Consider the following 17,151-nt stretch of genomic DNA (forward strand, 5'->3'; position numbering starts at 1 on the left):
TAGTTTATATTTAAAAATAAAAATGTGCTTAACTCTGAAATTTGTCTTTTTGACTTAAGGATATATTATGGACATCCCTTTAGGGTCATATTTATAGAATTGACTCATTCTTTTAAATTATACTGTATTTTATTGTATGGCTAAATTGAAATTTATTGGACCATTTTCTTATTGATGAAATTCAAGTGCTTTTAGGTTTTGTTCAGTTTTTAAAATTGTAAATGGACAATTTATAATTATATAGAACTATGGGGTAAAAAGCACTGTTATGATTTATGAATACAATGTGAAATAATTAAATCAAGCTAATTAACATACTCATCATCTCAAATACTTAACATATTTTGTGGTGAGACCATCTGAAATTTACTCTCTTAGCAATTTTGAAATGTGCAATACTCTATTCTTAACTAGATTCACCACACTGTGTAATAAAACTCCGAAAAAGAAAAAAGCAACATATTCCTCCTATCTAGCTGAAATTTTGTACCCTCTGACCATCAGCTCTCTGCTCTCTCCCCACCCCCTACCATCTGTAACCACCATTCTACTCTGCTTCTATGAGTTTCATTGCTTTAGATTCCACACATAAGTGAGAACATGCAGTATTTGCCTTTCTGTGCCTGTCTTACTTCACTTAGCATCATGTTCTCCAATTCCATCCATGTTGTCGCAGATAACAGAGTTTCCTTCTTCTTAAAGGCTGAATTGTATTCTATTGTGTATATATGCCATATTTCCCTTATTCACTCCTCTGTTGATGGACACTTAGGTTGATTCTATAACTTGGCTATTGTGAATAGTGCTGCAATGAACATGGGGGTGCAGGCATCTCTTTAACAAACAGATTTCACATCTTTTGGGTAAATACTCAGAAGTGGTATTGCTGGATCATATAGTAATTCTATTTTTAGTTTTGGAGACACCTCTAAAATGTTGTCCATAATGGTTGTACTAATTCATATTTCTACCAACAGTTCACAACAGTTCCCCTTCTGCCACGTTCTTGCTGACATTTATTATCTTTTGTCTTTTTGATAAAAGCCATTCTGACAAATCTGAGATATATCTCATTGTGATTTTAATTTGCATTTTCCTAATAATTAGAAATGTTGAACATTTTTCCACTTACCTGTTGGCCATTCGTGTGTCTTCTTTTGAAAAATGTCTATTCTTATGTATTTTTTTTAAAATATGGTCATAGCAGAAAATAACTTCAGTGTTAAACCACAGTTATCTCTGGGAGGTTGAATATTGTGTAATTAAACATTTTTAATTTTAAATTGTATATTTTTCATGTTTTCTATACTGAGTATCTTTCTTTTAGAATCAGAAAAATGTACAAATAATTTAAAACAAACGCCTTGAAAAATGAACAATCTTACCTAGTATTCAAAGAAATGCAAATTAAAATGTTATTTTTGTTTCTATCTCAGTAAATAAGGAAATATGGAGTAAAAGAGTAATCTTCCTGCTGAGCATGTTTTGCGGTTGCCAGCGCTGCCCCGGGTGTGTCTGGAGGAACACTCCCTGTTGCCTAACAACTGCTGTAATGTAACGGAAATAGAAGCACGATGCCACACATCCCTCAGAAAACGACTTGGCCCTTGGCCCTCCTGTGGATGAAGAGTATATTGAAGAGAAACTGGATATTTCTAAATTTGCTAAGACTCGCTTTTCTCACTTGCTCTCAGATCACACTACTTTTGAGTAGCCCAAAATTTTGTTGCCAACTCAGCAAGTTAAGCAAACAATATTACAAATCATGTTGAAACTGAAGTGGTCCCCATGGGCCAGTGAGTACGGTGCAGGTGGAGAAAAAATTAGCTGCTGAGTTAGGACAAACTGCTCCAATTTTGAAGGCACAAATGGGCATCATCTTGGGCCCGGGTACTACCCAAGGTGGACCTCTCAATCAGGCTCTTATGCTCCCAGGTGTAGTTGTTGGGTGAACTCTCTCCCTGGATGCTCAGGGACAGCATCTCAGAGAGAGGTGAATGGAAAAACCATGAGACCCTGTACACACTCTAGGTGCAATGGATTACAAGGGTTGATAGCTCTTCTTAGTAACCGAAAGCCTATATGCTCCATCTTTCTTGATGGCAAGGTCCCTGGGAAGGAGACATTCTCTTAGAATGTCATTAAATGACCATAGAATAAGCATGAAGTGAGTGGAATTATGTGGAAGGGATTCAGCATTTTACCCAAGCACTGGGCAGCCCCTGGGTGTGGCTGTCCCTCCACAGTGGCCTGTCTGTCTAAGTCTTGACCCACCCACCCAGATCCTCTTGGAAGCCACTGATAGCATTTGCCTCTGGGAATTCTGCAGCCTTTGCTGATGAGTCTCAGTTGACACCATCTATCATTGCAGATACAGATGTCTCCAAAAGGCAATTGCCAAAGGCTGTGCCACACAGCACACACCTGTCCATGTGCAGATTGATTCTGTTAAACTCTTCAGCTATCTTGTGGGCTGCTTTTCCCTGCCTCATTATCTGCCTGCAGACCTTCCTTCTGTGTTCTCTGCTCTTAGAGGTCAGATTGATCTGTATTTTTATCAAGATGAGGAAGGAGATGGTAGACTGTGAATCAAGGATCTACCTCTCCCAGTAATTCACTGTGGCATCTTGGGGCACCTGCTGGCCCTCTCTGAGCCTCCATTTTCTTACCCACGAAATGTGGATTTGGACCCAGTTATCTCCAACCACCCAAGAGTCTGTGATTCTGCTACTAAGAAAAGCAAAAGGCAAGTACAAGATAGCATGTGTTTAGTTGCTGGGGAAAGCTCAGTCTAATATTAAAAATAATAAGTATAAAAATAATCACCACCATTCACTCGAGCTTGCTTTGCCAGTTCTGCACTGTGATCTTTGCAGGGGTAATCTTACTGAATCCTCTGCTCCAACCCTACCAGGTGGGAACTACTTTTATCTTTATTTTTCTGATGAGGAGATTGAGCCTCAGAGATGTTAAGCAACCTGCCGAAGCAGAGAGTTAATATGTCGGGATTCATCACAGGCAGATCCCTCTGCTCTTGGGAAGCCCAGACCTCAGAAGCAGGAGTGGGTCTGATTCAGGTGTGCTCTGAGGGCCAGCTGTCCTTTCCAAAAATGCCTTCCTTTATTTAGACACCAACATCCTTGCTATTTTGGATTTTTCAATGAGCTTCCTTATTTTCTCCCTATTCTGTCCTATTCAGCAAAATGAATGAATAAATATAGGTTCCTAATGTTACAAATTTAATTTTCTTCTAGAAATGAAAGTGTTTATTTCTCTTCTTTTATTTCTCAAGCCAAAATAATTATTTCCTCCTTCTTAGAAGTCCAGGAATAGGTTAAACTTTAATTAAAAGTCTTATGGTTCAACAGTTGGAATGAGGATCAGGTAATAACGAAGAAACCCCGTAAACACCCTGAGGAGAACCAGCACCCCCTCCATTGGTTGTTTTAGCTCAGCCCACAGCTAACAGCTCAGCTCAGAAAGTTCCTACCACCCACTCCGCTTCTAACGCCTTTTAATATTCGCACAGAGTTTTCTCACATTGTGGCTCTCACACACTTCCTTTATACATGCTGTTTCCTCAGCCTGGAATGCCACCTCTTTCTTTACCTGGAGAACCCCTGTCCCTTAAAGACGCAGGTCAGAAGTCACGTAGTACTCCTCTGCTACCACCTAATGCAAAGCGTGATTATTCCTTCACTTCTCTTCTGCATTTAAATTATTGAGGGAAGAGGCTTGGTCTCATTGCCTTTGGAATAGCTCTGGATCTGCGTTCATGTTTTGTATATAATACGACTCAGTAAAGGTTGTGTAATATATGACTTTCATATGTGTGTATGCAAAGATAATGTGTTCCCATGCCCTTTGACTCAGTTTTCCCCATGGCAATGAATTTAACCACAGGAAATAATTGAATAGGAGAAAGAAGATTACACAGATGGAAGTTCTATAAAATATGTATTTGCTAAACATTGGAAACAAGTTAAATGTTTATCAATTGAGTAATGGCAAGTAAATTGGGGTACATGATCTTGAAGGAACATGACTTATTCTCTCATTCATTATACAAACATATAGACTGCCAAAGAGCTATCAGATACACAGCAATTTAACAGTTACCACATCTGACTTCAATGAATACACAGTCTGGTAGAGTCTTCTAAAATGATAATTACCAAACTACATAGAAAGCGAGCACTATTTGTGGTCTAACGTTAAGAGGAAAACAAATCAGATTATAAAACCATCTGTACATTACGATTGCAACTCTAAACATGTGAGAGTGTGAACAAGGTCTGGACGGGTGAATACAGGAATGACAATATTGATGTGGTTAGATTGGATGACTTTTTCTTTAGCATTATTACAATTGTTTTCGAGCTTTAAACTTTTAGATTGTTCCAAACGTTTCTAGGGGGGAAAAAAAAGCTGCTCCCATAGCCCTGGCTCCCCAGGTTGGCAGTAGCATGAATGATGGGGTATTTTCCCAGATGGGCAGGGGCTTGCCACAAGGTGACTGGGAGGGGATATTCAAGGCAGTCCAGGAGAGTTGGGTTACGGAAGGCTATCACTCTGTAGACTTGGGAGTGCTCACTGGGTGCCATCGTAAGAACCAGCCTCTTCTGTGTCTGGGCTATGCCACGCAGCAGCACCTGCAGGCTCTTCCAAGCTTTGTCAGCACCACAACTTGGGCACAGCACAGCAGTGCCAGGTGTGGAAAGCAGAAGTCTAAGAGGCAGACAAAAGGGTTGAGACCTGCAAGAGTTGGTGGCTAGTTCCTCATGCTGGAAAGGATGATCTCTATGTGAAAGGTACCTTATCCCTCTTCTACAGACCAGGAAACTGAAGCTTGATTTGTCCCAAGCTACTGGAGTTGGGGTTGGAATCCATCCCTTCTTATTTGGGGGCAGGGTTTTTCTATTTCCCTTACTGGCCTGGGAGCAGGTGGAGATGCATGAGGTCATATGGAAGAGACAGGCTGATAGGATGGGTGGAGTCCTTTGGGAAGGAGGAGGCAATGGGGAATCTATTGGTAGGACCCCATGGTGGACGTATGAGAAGCCAAGCATTTGAGTTTTGACTCGATGCAGTAGGCAGTGGGGAGCCCTTGCAGGTTTGGGGACATGATGGAAGAGGGCTTAATGAAGACGAGGCTGGTGTAATCAGGGGAGAGGCTGGATCAGGCACATGGTAAGGGTGATGTGTGGCATTTGTTTTGTGTAATCAGAATAGTACCCACCCATCCAACTTCTTGGAAATATGTATTTCTGCTTCTCCATGAGATTGGACTGGAAGCTTCCATCTTATATATCCCTTCCCCATGGATAACAGCACCTTCCAGGGATGGGCACCTGATACAAACTTGGCCTATCAGAGCACTTCCCTGGGAATTTTGCCCTTGGGGCCAGAGAAACATGGGTGTCAGTCCCTCTCTGGTGATAAAGCTGTGTCATGTAAAGTCTGGGGGATCTATAATGACTAAAAGATTTGAGAGTCAGAGAGAGGGAATTCTAGCTTGGCTCAGGCCCTGGTTTCCCCTCACTTTGAGGGCTCAGACACCCTTTTGCTTGTGCCACAATATGAACAATATTCACCACCCTCATTTAACTAAACTAGTCTGAGTTGAATTTTTGTCATCTGCAAACCAAAAAGTTCTGATGACATTTGCAGTAAGAGAAATGTCTACTCTTTGTCATTCAAAGAGTTCAATTTGTTCATTCTTCAAATTTTGAGCACAATTCTCAACAACACTCTAGGGTTGTTTTGTGTGCATTGGGTCCATCATTTTGTGCCTGTAAGAAATAACAACAAAAATCTTTCCTCACTAGTCAGCATCAGGTTCAGGAACTCCAGGTTCTCTGTAGACACAAGGCTTTGGGATTCCCTTCAGAGAAGGAGCAATGCATCTCCATCACTCGTGTGGTAAGTAAAATTGCTGCTCAGAACACTTCCATGCCTGCTCCTTTGTGATTCAGATGAGGAGAAATCAACGTGGACTGAGCGCCCACACAGGACAGCCAGGCATTTCCCATACAGGTGGTAAAGGTATCTTCTGAACTTCTCCCCAGCAAATGCATAGATGAGAGGATTCAGGCAACAATGGCTAAATGCAACCGTCTCAGTCACACTGAGGGCCAGCCTCAGATCCTTCCTCATGTCACAACTGGGAAAGAAGTCATAGAGCTTAAGCGTCTCCAGGAAAATCATAACGTTGTAGGGTGTCCAGAAGAGGAAAAACACGATGACCACCAGAAGGATCAGTTTAATGGCTTTGGCTTTCTTGTGGTTCTTGCAGGAAAACAGCGTCTGGATGATTCTGAAGTAGCAATAACTCATAATGAGCAGGGGGAGTAGGAAGCCAAGAAAATTTGTTTCCACATTGCGGAGCACGGGCCAGATTTCCTGGAGGACCTCGGGGTAGTCACCAAGGCATTCATTTTCTTTCTGCTTTGTGAACATGAACTGGGGTGCTGCCACCAAAATGGCTGCTGCCCAGACGCCTAGGCTGATGGTGACGCCATGCTGCACGGTCCGGTTGTTCATGGAGTTGGCGGCCAGGACGATGGCCAGGTACCTATCAATGCTGATGACGGTGATGAAGAATATGCTTCCAAAAAAGCCGATGAAGAAGAAGGCGGTAGTGAATTTGCACATGGCATTGTGGAGGCCCTTTTCATTTATCAAATAGTGAGTCCAGAAGGGCAAAGTGGCTACAAACAGCAGATCAGACAAGGCCAGGTTCAGGAGGTAAATGTCGGTGACACTCTTGGGCTTCTTGCTGTTGGTGAGGGCAAACACTACCAACAAATTTCCCACCAGGCCAATGGCAAAGATGACGGAGTAGAATATGGACAGGAACACAGTCCCAAAGACCACGATGTCCCCAATATAACAGGCCTCAGCCAAATCATCGTACTCAAAGTTTTCTGTCACTGATTCAGGGAACTGATCCATGGTGAAGGCCTGGATCAGAAAGAAAAACAAGTAACTGTGTTAGTTATCAGAGAAACAAAGTTGGAATTCTGTGTGGCCTCATATGTAGGCAGGCAGGAAGAAACAAATATTGGTTGGGTGCACACTACATTTCCCAACTTCCCACTTGCCATCTTGTTTAATCCCCACAACAGTCTTGTGATGAAGACTGCAACAGACTCTTCTGACAGGAGAGGCGGACTCCTTTGACTTGCCCAAAGCCATGCAGTAAATGGCTCTGTGAGCATTTGGCTCTAGGCATTTTTTTTTTTTTAAATGGAGTCTCGCTGTGTCACCCAGGCTGGAGTGCAGTGGTGCGATCTCAGCTCACTGCAACCTCTGTCCCCTGGGGTTCAAGCGATTCTCCTGCCTCAGCCTCCCAAATAGCTGGGATTATAGGCGTGCACTACCACGCCTGGCTAATTTTTGTATTTTTAGTAGAGATGGGGTTTCATCATGTTAGCCAGGCTGGTCTCAAACTCCTGACCTCAGATTATCCTTCCGCCTCAGCCTCCCAAAATGCTAGGATTACAGGCGTGAGCCACAGCGCCCAGCCAGCTCTAGGCTTTTTGAAGCTTGAGACAGATCTGTTTTACTTTTACTGCCCAAAATCTCTCCAAAAGCTAGCTAGTTTGACCAATGTGTGGATGAGAAAGGGAGAACCATGAGCAGGAGGGGGAGGGGGGTGAGATGGGGTGAATTGGGGGTGCAGCTGTAATTCACACTTCCAGTCCAAACTTCCCCAAAGCAATTCTCCATCCTCTTCCTTTGTTTCCACCTTTTCCACCCTCTGGCCCCTTACTTTTCCATGAAGCTAGGCCTGGAGAGAGAAGCCTCAGACCCAGAGCCTTGGGCAGAACAGCACCCGGAAGCCCTCATCTTTGTTTTTTGAGAACCATTTCACCTCCTCTTCTCCTTATAATCAACAAGTCCTTCTCTTTCTTAGCAGGTATCAGACAGAGTCATACACTCTAGAGTGACTACCTTGTTTTGGGCTGCCCAGGACTTTCCTGGTTTTAGCCCTGAAAGTCCCATCTATTGGGAACCCCTCAGTCCCAGGCAAATCAGGACTGTTGGTCATCCTACAACGCTAAGTGAAGAGAAGGTGTTGCCATCATTCAGGACTCTGCAGTCATAGAGGGGCTGACTGATTCAAGATGGAGGATGGGGCTCCGTTAGTCTGCTGGGCTAGTCTCCGGGTGACTAATTCCCCCTACGATTACCAGCCCTATAGTTCACTTTGGTTTGGACTTCCCCACTATTCTTATCTCCTGTTTCCTTCTGAGCAGGAATTGAAAAAAGAAGACACTTCTGCAGGCTGCACTCCCCTTCTTTTCGCAGCCAGGACTTGCTGCTCATTCACTCCAGAGCCGGCTGGGAGGCAGCCCTTTCACACGGCTCCTCTGGGCGTCTCCTCGTGATACCACAGATGGGTCCCTCAGAAACCCTCAAAACAGGCCTCCTGGTTGTCACTGCCTCCCTCCTTACCACAACTTACAGCAAAGCTCACGCTTTAACCGAGGGAGTTTCCACGCCCCACTACACCCTTTCCATGATGGTTTTACCCAGGTGGTGTCTCACCAAGATGAGGGCCCACCCAGCCAGGGTGTGTCACTTCTCGCTTCCCAGCCTCTGCTTTGGGGCCTGCATCTCACCCAGACTCTCCTGGGATAAGTGGGCCGGGGCTTTACAACCTAAGCTGTCTCAGGCTGTGATGAGTTCTCAACCCCAGGGAACGTGTATGCTTTCTCTGCTTCAGGCTACAATGCCCTTTTCTCAGAGAATAATCTCTGGCTGTGACGTTAATTAATAACATTTAAGTCAAATGGTATAAAATGGCTGACATACAGCTATTTTTGAGCCACATCCATGTCAGTTTTATATGACTCAAGCTAATATGTGGGAAACAGAAATTGCTACTTAGTGCCTGCAGCTTGTCACAGAGCATGATCTTCCCAGACAAGCTGCTGTATGAGTAAAAATAGTCAAGTCCTTGGTGGTTCTATGTTAGGGACCCTGGAGCTAGCTACTTTCTCCCTCCCCTTCCCCCAGTGAGAAGAGCTGGCAAAGCCGACCTCGAGAGGTGGCCAAATCCAGTAAAAATTGTCTCGCATCTCTTTATGTGCCTGTGGTCGGTCCTTCAGCACAGGAACTTCTGTGGACTCGGGCACTCCCGAGATTGAATCCTGCATCTGTCCTCTCTGGCTGAGTGATGGGTGAGCTTGAAACCTCTGAGCCTAACATTCCTTGTCTGTAAGATCGGGATTCATTCTCATGCCTGCCCACAGAACTGTTTTAAGGGGAGCACCTGGCACAGTGTGTCACATACAGCAAGCACTTAATACATGTTCAATTTGTTTCCTGCATTATGTGAGGAAGCAAAAGCCCTTTGGATCTTTGGAAACATCCAGGCTGCCTGTGGACTCCCATGTTCCACCTCCACCCTGGGTATCCTGGGAATTTGGTCTTTAAAGGTCACTTTATTTTTTTTTCCCCCTGAAATAAGACATGCTTTCTTTTCAGATTATTTTGGGGGAGGTAAGCCACCCTTTATTGAGCTTTTACTAAACTGTCAGGCTCATTGCTCTGTTTGGATTAATATTGATCTAATCCGTTCTGCAATTCTGAAAAAAAAAAGTTCTATATTTAATTCACTGCACTGCTGAATGCCTCTGGGGATATTCATGATGAGAGGAAGGAATGGGACAAATGTGGAGAAGGAAGGGAAAGTTAGAAATAAGCAACTGATTGCCTGGTGGAGTGGCAGAGGGGTCCCAAATCAGGCCCTTTGCCTTACTGGGTGCTTGGGCTCAGGGCTGCCACGTGCACAGGGGCATCTCTAATTTGCACCAAGTCTCCATATAAGCTGGGGGTGGTCTGGCTTGGCAAGGAGCTCATGAAAAGATCAGTCAGGTACAGTCTAAGCCAGGAAGGGGCTTGTCTTCTCAATGGGGAAAATTCACATAAAGACTTTGATTAAGACAGAATGGAAGAAGTGGGTGAATGTATCTTCTGCAGATGGGATGCAAATTCAGATAATGCTCTGGGCAGGATGGTTTTGCCTGATACGTGGTGATATTATGTATTGAGAGCCAAATGGCTGGTTATGGGCATCCATCTGGCTTGGGACTGCTCCCTGCCATCCAGGGGGTCTGCTCAGTGAGGGCAGACGAACACTCTGCAGCCCTCATCCTAGCTCCCTGCTGTCTCAGAGTCCCCAGTGAAGACCCTAGAATTGCTGTGGCTCCCACAGGAGTCTCTCAGTGCTGGCACAGTGGGTGCATGCAGTGGGTGCTCACCCAGCATATCATGGTCCCTGCTATGAGCCATCTGGACCATGCTACAGAGGAAAGAGCAGTACCAATATCGCTTTCTATGAGTTCCCACGTGACTCTGAGGAACAGCACTGGTCATTGAGGGACATTTTTGATCTTCATGTTCACATTTCCATTTTGCACACACTGTGCCTCACAGGAGGCACAGCTGGGTGAAGCACCTGGCCCATCCCACAGCTAGAAGCAGGGGGAGCAGGACTGAGGCCAAGGCCTGTGCTGTTCCCACTCTCCCTTGAAGATGGAGGAGACTCGGGCCCTGGGCTTAGGGGCCAAATCCTGGCAGGGGAGAAGAGTCAAGGACTCGATGACTATCAAACAGTTGAGTCCCAAGTCCAGTGGTAAAAAGGCATCAAAACAACAGCCTTAGCTTCCTCCTCTAAAAAAATAACCTCTTAGGTTTGTTGAGAGCATAAGAATTAAATTACTTTAAATTGCTTATTGGGATTTATCGTAGACACACACATGCTCAAGCAAGTGTGTACACTGTCACTGCAACAAGCTTCAAATATAAATGAAGGGAAACAACCCCAATGTCCATCACTAGGGACAGATCAAAGCACGATAAGTCCAATTAATGGAATACCAAGCAGCTGCTTAAAAACCAAACAGTTTCTAGCTCTTGGAAACTTGGGAAAAACAACAAAAACAGGCAGATCTGTATATTCTGTCATGCAACAATCTCTAAGATATACTGGTAAGTGAAAAAAGCTAGGTGAGGTACCATGTACATAGTATGCTGTCATTTGTGGAAAAGAATGATGTGTGCGTATTTTGTATAAAGTTTAAATATCTCTTAAGGAATACACTGGTGGTGGTAATTATCCCTGGAGAGGGATTCTGAAGGATTGAGGATATGGGAAAGGAGACAGTTTTTATGGTAAACTTTTGGAAATGTTTTTTACCATGTACACATACTACGTATTTTGGAAAATAGTTTAATTAATTCGTTTGGAATTTTAAAATAAAAATCAACAAAAATATGAGTTATATGAAAAACTAAAAAATGAGTAACTTAGTACAATAACAAGCATGCTGCACATAATAAGTGGTAGCCAACATATAAAAGGATCATCTCTATTTTTATGGGCAAATAGATGAATTCAGAGAGGGTGAATAACTTGTTCGAGGTGATGCAGTGTGTGTGCAATAGGGCTGCAGTGAGGGCCCAGATGTGTTCGGCCTCAGCACTTTTTTTTAACTTCACATTACAGCCCTTCCCCATTCCTTTTTCCCAAGACTAGGAGTTCCTAAGAGAAGACCCACGTCCTCTTCAGCTCTGCAGGCCAATGTTCAACAGAAGGCCTGGTACACAGCGAATGCCATATGAATATTTGCAGAAGGATAAATATTATATCCTAGACCTTTGTTCCAAAGAGTTTCATCTAGTAGTGATGACAGCACCCTATCAGTCACCCTGATCCCAGGGGTGCTCATGAGCACACAGGTGTCCTTTCTGATCATAGGCTAGGAAGCCTTGAACTCTGAGAAGTTAGTAGGTGCCTGATGTGTTAAATGAATTAATAAATAAGTGAATGAAAGACTTCAAGGAGCAAGAAAAGAGATTCGTCAGCTCTATAATATGGAGCCCCAGGAGATGAGAAGAGGCTCACCAGCTCTCCACAGTCAGAAGACAACTTGGCAAACACAACCTCTCATTTCAACCATACCTCTCACATGTGGCTTTTGAACATATGTGGTCATGAAATAGATATCAGCGTGGGTAATTGCAGCTCTGTCTTCTGTGCAAATCTCAAGAAACAGCAGGAGTCATTGGGCAACATAGGGTTTTGCCTGGTTCTGAAGAGACTTGTATTCTGTGTGCTGGAGCTAGTTCAAACCGCCCTTGGTAGCCAAATGCCCCAGAGCATGTGAAGGCACCATTTACATAAAAAATCTGACATCGCTGAAGCTGTGTCCTTCGCAGAAGTATTCCAGTGAACTTGATAGCTTTAGCAAGGCGCTTTTTAAGGAAGACTGAGCCTGAGCTGAGTGTACCTCCTATTTGTGGATCCTCCAAGATGTTCAAGGTTTGGGAGCTGAGCCTAAGATAGGGCCTCCTGGCAGCAGATGCGAGTGTGGCCGTGCCTTGGGGGTGGCCCTCAGGGTGGTCAAAGGCCTGCCAGAGGTCTAATTGGTTTTCATCTTAGACTGGACCATGGCTTTCCTTTGTCCCTGAGGGACACTAGAAACCAAGTGGAAGAATCAAATGAGAAGACTTTGCAGTGTCTACCCAGCTGGGTTTCATATCCACAAGGGTTGTAAGACGCATGCATTCTGGGATGTTGCACTAATAAAGGCATCATCAACTAAGGCTGCACTTTACAACTTAGTGCAGCAGCCAGTAAGAATTTAAACCTTCTCTGGGCCATCCTCAGGCCTCCTTACCCACTATTCAGTTAAGCCAAGGTTTTACTAAATGGCCTTGAGCTGGGAGAGTTTCGGTGAACCTAGACAGAGCTTTGAGTGTACACATGTTTCACACCCAAGTAGAAATTTGTAAAATTCCCCACTCACATCCGTGGCTGATCCTGGTCTACTTCCTCTGGCCTACTTCCTTTTCTCATGCCTGCTCATTTATTTTTTAACTTTTTAGGGGAGGGACACTCATCATTACCCATTGTTTCCAATCAGCTTCCCTTTTCTATACTTCCCTTCTTCTTTAGGTGGCCAGAATCCATTTCTTCTTCAATCTGACATTCTTTTATGTTGCTTTCTCCCTCTCTTTTGGCTTCACATCCAGCTTACTGTTTTCTAAATCCAGTGTATCTTCTGGTAGTTTTTACCCTCCTGGTCTCTGTTTATGGCTTTTTAGTAAAAGTGAAGACTGGGTTTGAGGTTCAGTCTGGTGCCAAGAAAATTGTGAGGCTTAATTTTTTTCTTTGTACCAAATGAGAGTAGAGAATTGCTTGAGGAGCCCCAACCCAAACTTTCCTTATGAGGATGCCATTGTGCTGTTGACATTGTGGAATCTGAAGTCACCCTCAGAAAGCCCCAGTTTAGAAAGGGAGGAGGCTGCCATTCCCGGATGCCTGCTAAGTGTCATGCTCCACACACAAGATCCCACCACATTCTCTTCACAACCCCACTGGAGAAATGATGATCCCCATGGTATAAATTAACCAGCAGAGGCCCAGAGATTTGGTTAACTTGTTCAAGGAAGCAAAAGAGCCAGGATCTCAACCCCAGATGCCTCTTTCCACAAAGCCTGTGCTCCTTGCACCGCACAATGCTTTTCTCCCTGGAGGGGAAATCTGCAGGATATTGCAGGCCACTTCTCTCGAAGTAGAACTGAAAATAGTAGACCCAGGCCCCTTAAGAGAAACTGGTCCATGATGCATCTCTGAATTCGTTGGGGTTCTCCCCCTGTGGGCTCATAACCCAGCAGGCTGCCCCTCAGGGATTGGTGAGTGGAAAATGGAATGCGGGATATTATTTGCTCCTCTAGCCACCACTAGGTGGTCCACACTGCCAGATCCCCAGGAATCTAGCTCCCAGCAACCATAGTGAGGAAACTGGGGTCATTTTCTCTGGAGAGGAAAAGTCTGAAGGCTGAAGGTTTAGCCTATTTTCTGCCTTCAAATATATGATAGTGCTTTTAAGAGCCACATGTTTCACAGGAGCCCATACATTTCTGAGCATGAATGGCTGAGAGACCCTGGGCAGGTCACTCTGCTCTGCTTCAGTTTCTTGATGTATGAAATTAAAGCATTGGACCAGACCACCTCTAAGAGCCTTGCTAGCTCTGGCATGCTCAATTTTTCAGCAAGAATCAAACAGAAGGAAACTGTTTGTTTGAGACAGGATCTCGCTCTGTTGCCCAGGCTGGAGTGCAGTGGCATGATCATAGCTCACTACAGCCTTGAACTCCTGGGATGTAGCAATCCTCCCACCTCAGTCTCCTAAGTAGCTGGGAGTATAGGTGTGCACCACCATGCCCAGCTATTTTTGGTAGATATGGGGTCTTACTATGTTGACCAGGCTGGTCTTGAACATCTGGCCTCAAGAGATCCTCCTGCCTGGGCCTCTCAAAGTGCCAGGATTACAGGTGTGAGCCATCATGCCTGGCCAAGGAAGCAGTCTTAAAGAGCAACATGAGTCCTAGGTCAGCAAAAGTGTGGTCTATTGTCAACAGAGAGGCTGCCCAGCAGCCTGCCCAGGGAACATGACACTTCTACACTTCTGGGGCACAGCCTGTGAGCATTCAGATGAGGTTCTGTTTGGAGATAGGGAGCTGGATCAGTTGATCAAGTCTTGGCAAATCTTGTTTACCTTGTACTAGATAGAAAGGTTCTCAGTCGGCTGCCATGCCCAGACCCCTGACTGTTTGGGAAGCCAAGTTTTACCAGGTCCTGATGGTTTTCTCATTTATGATGGCAGCTATTTTTATAACACATATCCCTTGGGATTCAGAGAGAGCTAAGGCTGATGGGGAGAGGGGTGCTGAATTCCATGTTAAGGAGCTATAAGGAAACATTTTATACCCCATCCCCTATGCAAGTAAATTCAGTGACTATCTATTCCTATAGCAATGAGCCCATCTAGAACAGCATGGCATTGTCTACCCACCAGTTTTTCACACAGGCCAAATGCACACCCAACCCTTCCCTCCAACCACCACCAAAAAAAAAAAAAAAAAAAAAATAGCAACAGGAGAATCCTATTGGGTTTAGTGAATTGCCCCTTTACAAAACCTGCCATTATTTTGTGTTTGAAGCCCCACCCTTCCCTTTCCTCTTCAAAATACTTTATGGTATTTATTTATTTATGTCAAAGTAAACTGTGAAATTTTGAAGGGAAATACTTCATAATTTTTTTAATAATTAGGAAAGAGATAGACTTGTTAATTGTTTAATTATTAATTAAGTCAATATTTTTGAGCATCTGTACCATATTCTAGTCTAAGTAGAAATTAAAAATAAAAACATTTAATTATTCTTGTTAAAAATAAGGACAGAGATCTCCTCACCTTCTGTTTTTTTCTCAGAGCATTTACTTTAGAAAACTTTTTTTTTTTTTGACATGGAGTTTCACTCTCATCGCCCAGGCTGGAGTGCAATGGTGCCATCTTGGCTCACTGCCACCTCCACCTCCTGGGTTCAAGTGATTCTCCTGCCTCAGCCTCCCAAGTAGCTGGGATTACAGGCGCCCACCACCATGCCCAGCTAATTTTTGTATTTTTAGTAGAGACAAGGTTTCACCATGTTGGCCAGGCTGATCTCAAATTCCTGACTTCAGGTGATCCACCCGCCTCAGCCTCTCAAAGTGCTGGGAATACAGGTGTGAGCCACCGTGCCCACCTAGAAAACTTTTACATACTTTCTCCTCTCTTTGAACATGTGTAAATCCTTTTGAAACTAGATAGGCTTTTTGTCAGCTTTATGAGCTAAGCTAGTCTTTCCCAAGGACCTGGGCGTCATCTCTTTGAAATGTAAACAAACCTAAGGGAGATAGTGCTTCTATCTCTTAGTTTCTGTGGGAAGGTATGAGCCTAACTGAAGAGCCTTGCTCAGTGCTGCAAAATTACCCCTTGTCTTAAAGATAAATTTGATTTTCCTCTGGGTAGAGCCAGTTAGCTAACACAAGTGGTTACCCTAATTACCAGGTAAATTTAGAGTGAACCATGTACGGCAAACGGTGCTGGCAAGACCTCTTACTTGAGGAACAGTTATTGTTTGCCTTGATAACATGTATGTAACAGGTTGTATCTACTTGGCTATACAAAAGGGGGAGATTTCTTTCTGTTCTTGCAACCTCTTAGTAGATGGCCTATAATGCTCTGCATATTTTGGTTTACTGCTTATTCCATAATAAAACTGTTCTTTCTCTACTCCTTTTGTGGAGAGAATCTCTGTGTTGAAAGAAGACTTTGTTAATTATATTTCACCAATACTAGGCACTGTGCTAGATTCTGTAGAGGCAAAAGTGTTTAAGATACAGTTCCTAGAAGTGTTTATTATTGCTCAGTAACAGAATATAAGAAAAGTCATGGGAAGCCCAAGGATTGAACCTCTATATCTGTCTCCTTAAAAACTGGGGGAGGGTGATCAAGAGGATATCACAAAAAAAAAAAAAAAAATCTGCCGTTTGAGCTGATGTTTTAAGGATGGGGAAAGTCTTCCAGGTTGACCAAGATGGAGGTGGCAGTGAATAGTGGGTGGGCTTTGAAGACAAAGGCACAGAGGGTCTGAGCATAGGAAGGTTTCCTGGGGCCAAGGCCAGGCAGAGGGAAATAGGAACAGAAGGCAGTGAAGATGGTGGAGTTGGGAGGAGCCCACATGCTCCCAGAGTGTTCAGGAAAGTCAGTTTAGGCTGAGTGCAGGGCTTCGGGGAAGGATGCAGAGAAAGCCAAGGCTGAAAAGGGAGAAGAGGGACATAGAGAGGGGTCTGAAATTCCACACTAAGTAACTACAAGGAAAAATGATGAAAGACTTTGAAATAGACACACACTGAAGATTACTGGGAGTCCTTTCTGGCATACTCTTTGGGGCTACCTCCCCCTTTTATTGCCTGAGCTAATTTTACAGCACCGTAGGTTATAGCAGATAGCAGTGCAAATGACTCTTGCTCATGGAAATACAAATTTTGTCTAGTGGAGATGCACTGGATTAAGTGCCCTGTAGATATGGACCAATTGTGCCTTTATCTCTAAATTCATCTCAGTATTTCTGGAAGCATCTCACCCATGCTGTTGGTTTGGCTGTAGACTGCTAATTCTCCTTGCTGCGTAGGATTCCACTGTGTGACTAGTCCATGATTTATTGCCATTTCTACTGCTAATGCACACATAGGTGGCTTTCAGTTTGTTGCTAGTTTGGACAATGTTGCCGTGAAAATTTTTGTGCAT

General features: G+C 44.0%; 1 protein-coding gene across 5 annotated transcripts in view; it reads right to left on the bottom strand.

The window, feature by feature from the left end:
- Positions 3,939-17,151, bottom strand: part of CX3CR1 (C-X3-C motif chemokine receptor 1) — a 29,473-nt gene continuing 16,260 nt past the window's right edge. For 3 of the 5 annotated variants that reach the window (NM_001171171.2, NM_001171172.2, NM_001337.4), the window contains exon 2: positions 3,941-6,963. In NM_001171171.2, coding sequence (NP_001164642.1) covers positions 5,887-6,954 — 1,068 coding nt within the window. In that variant the 5' untranslated portion in view covers positions 6,955-6,963 and the 3' untranslated portion in view covers positions 3,941-5,886. Of the gene's footprint in view, positions 6,964-17,151 lie in introns of all 5 variants that reach the window. The other 2 variants (XM_047447538.1, NM_001171174.1) reach the window with 1 other exon arrangement.

The sequence above is a fragment of the Homo sapiens genome, chromosome 3 (genome assembly GCF_000001405.40).
Source record: "Homo sapiens chromosome 3, GRCh38.p14 Primary Assembly".
Taxonomy (NCBI): domain Eukaryota; kingdom Metazoa; phylum Chordata; class Mammalia; order Primates; family Hominidae; genus Homo; species Homo sapiens.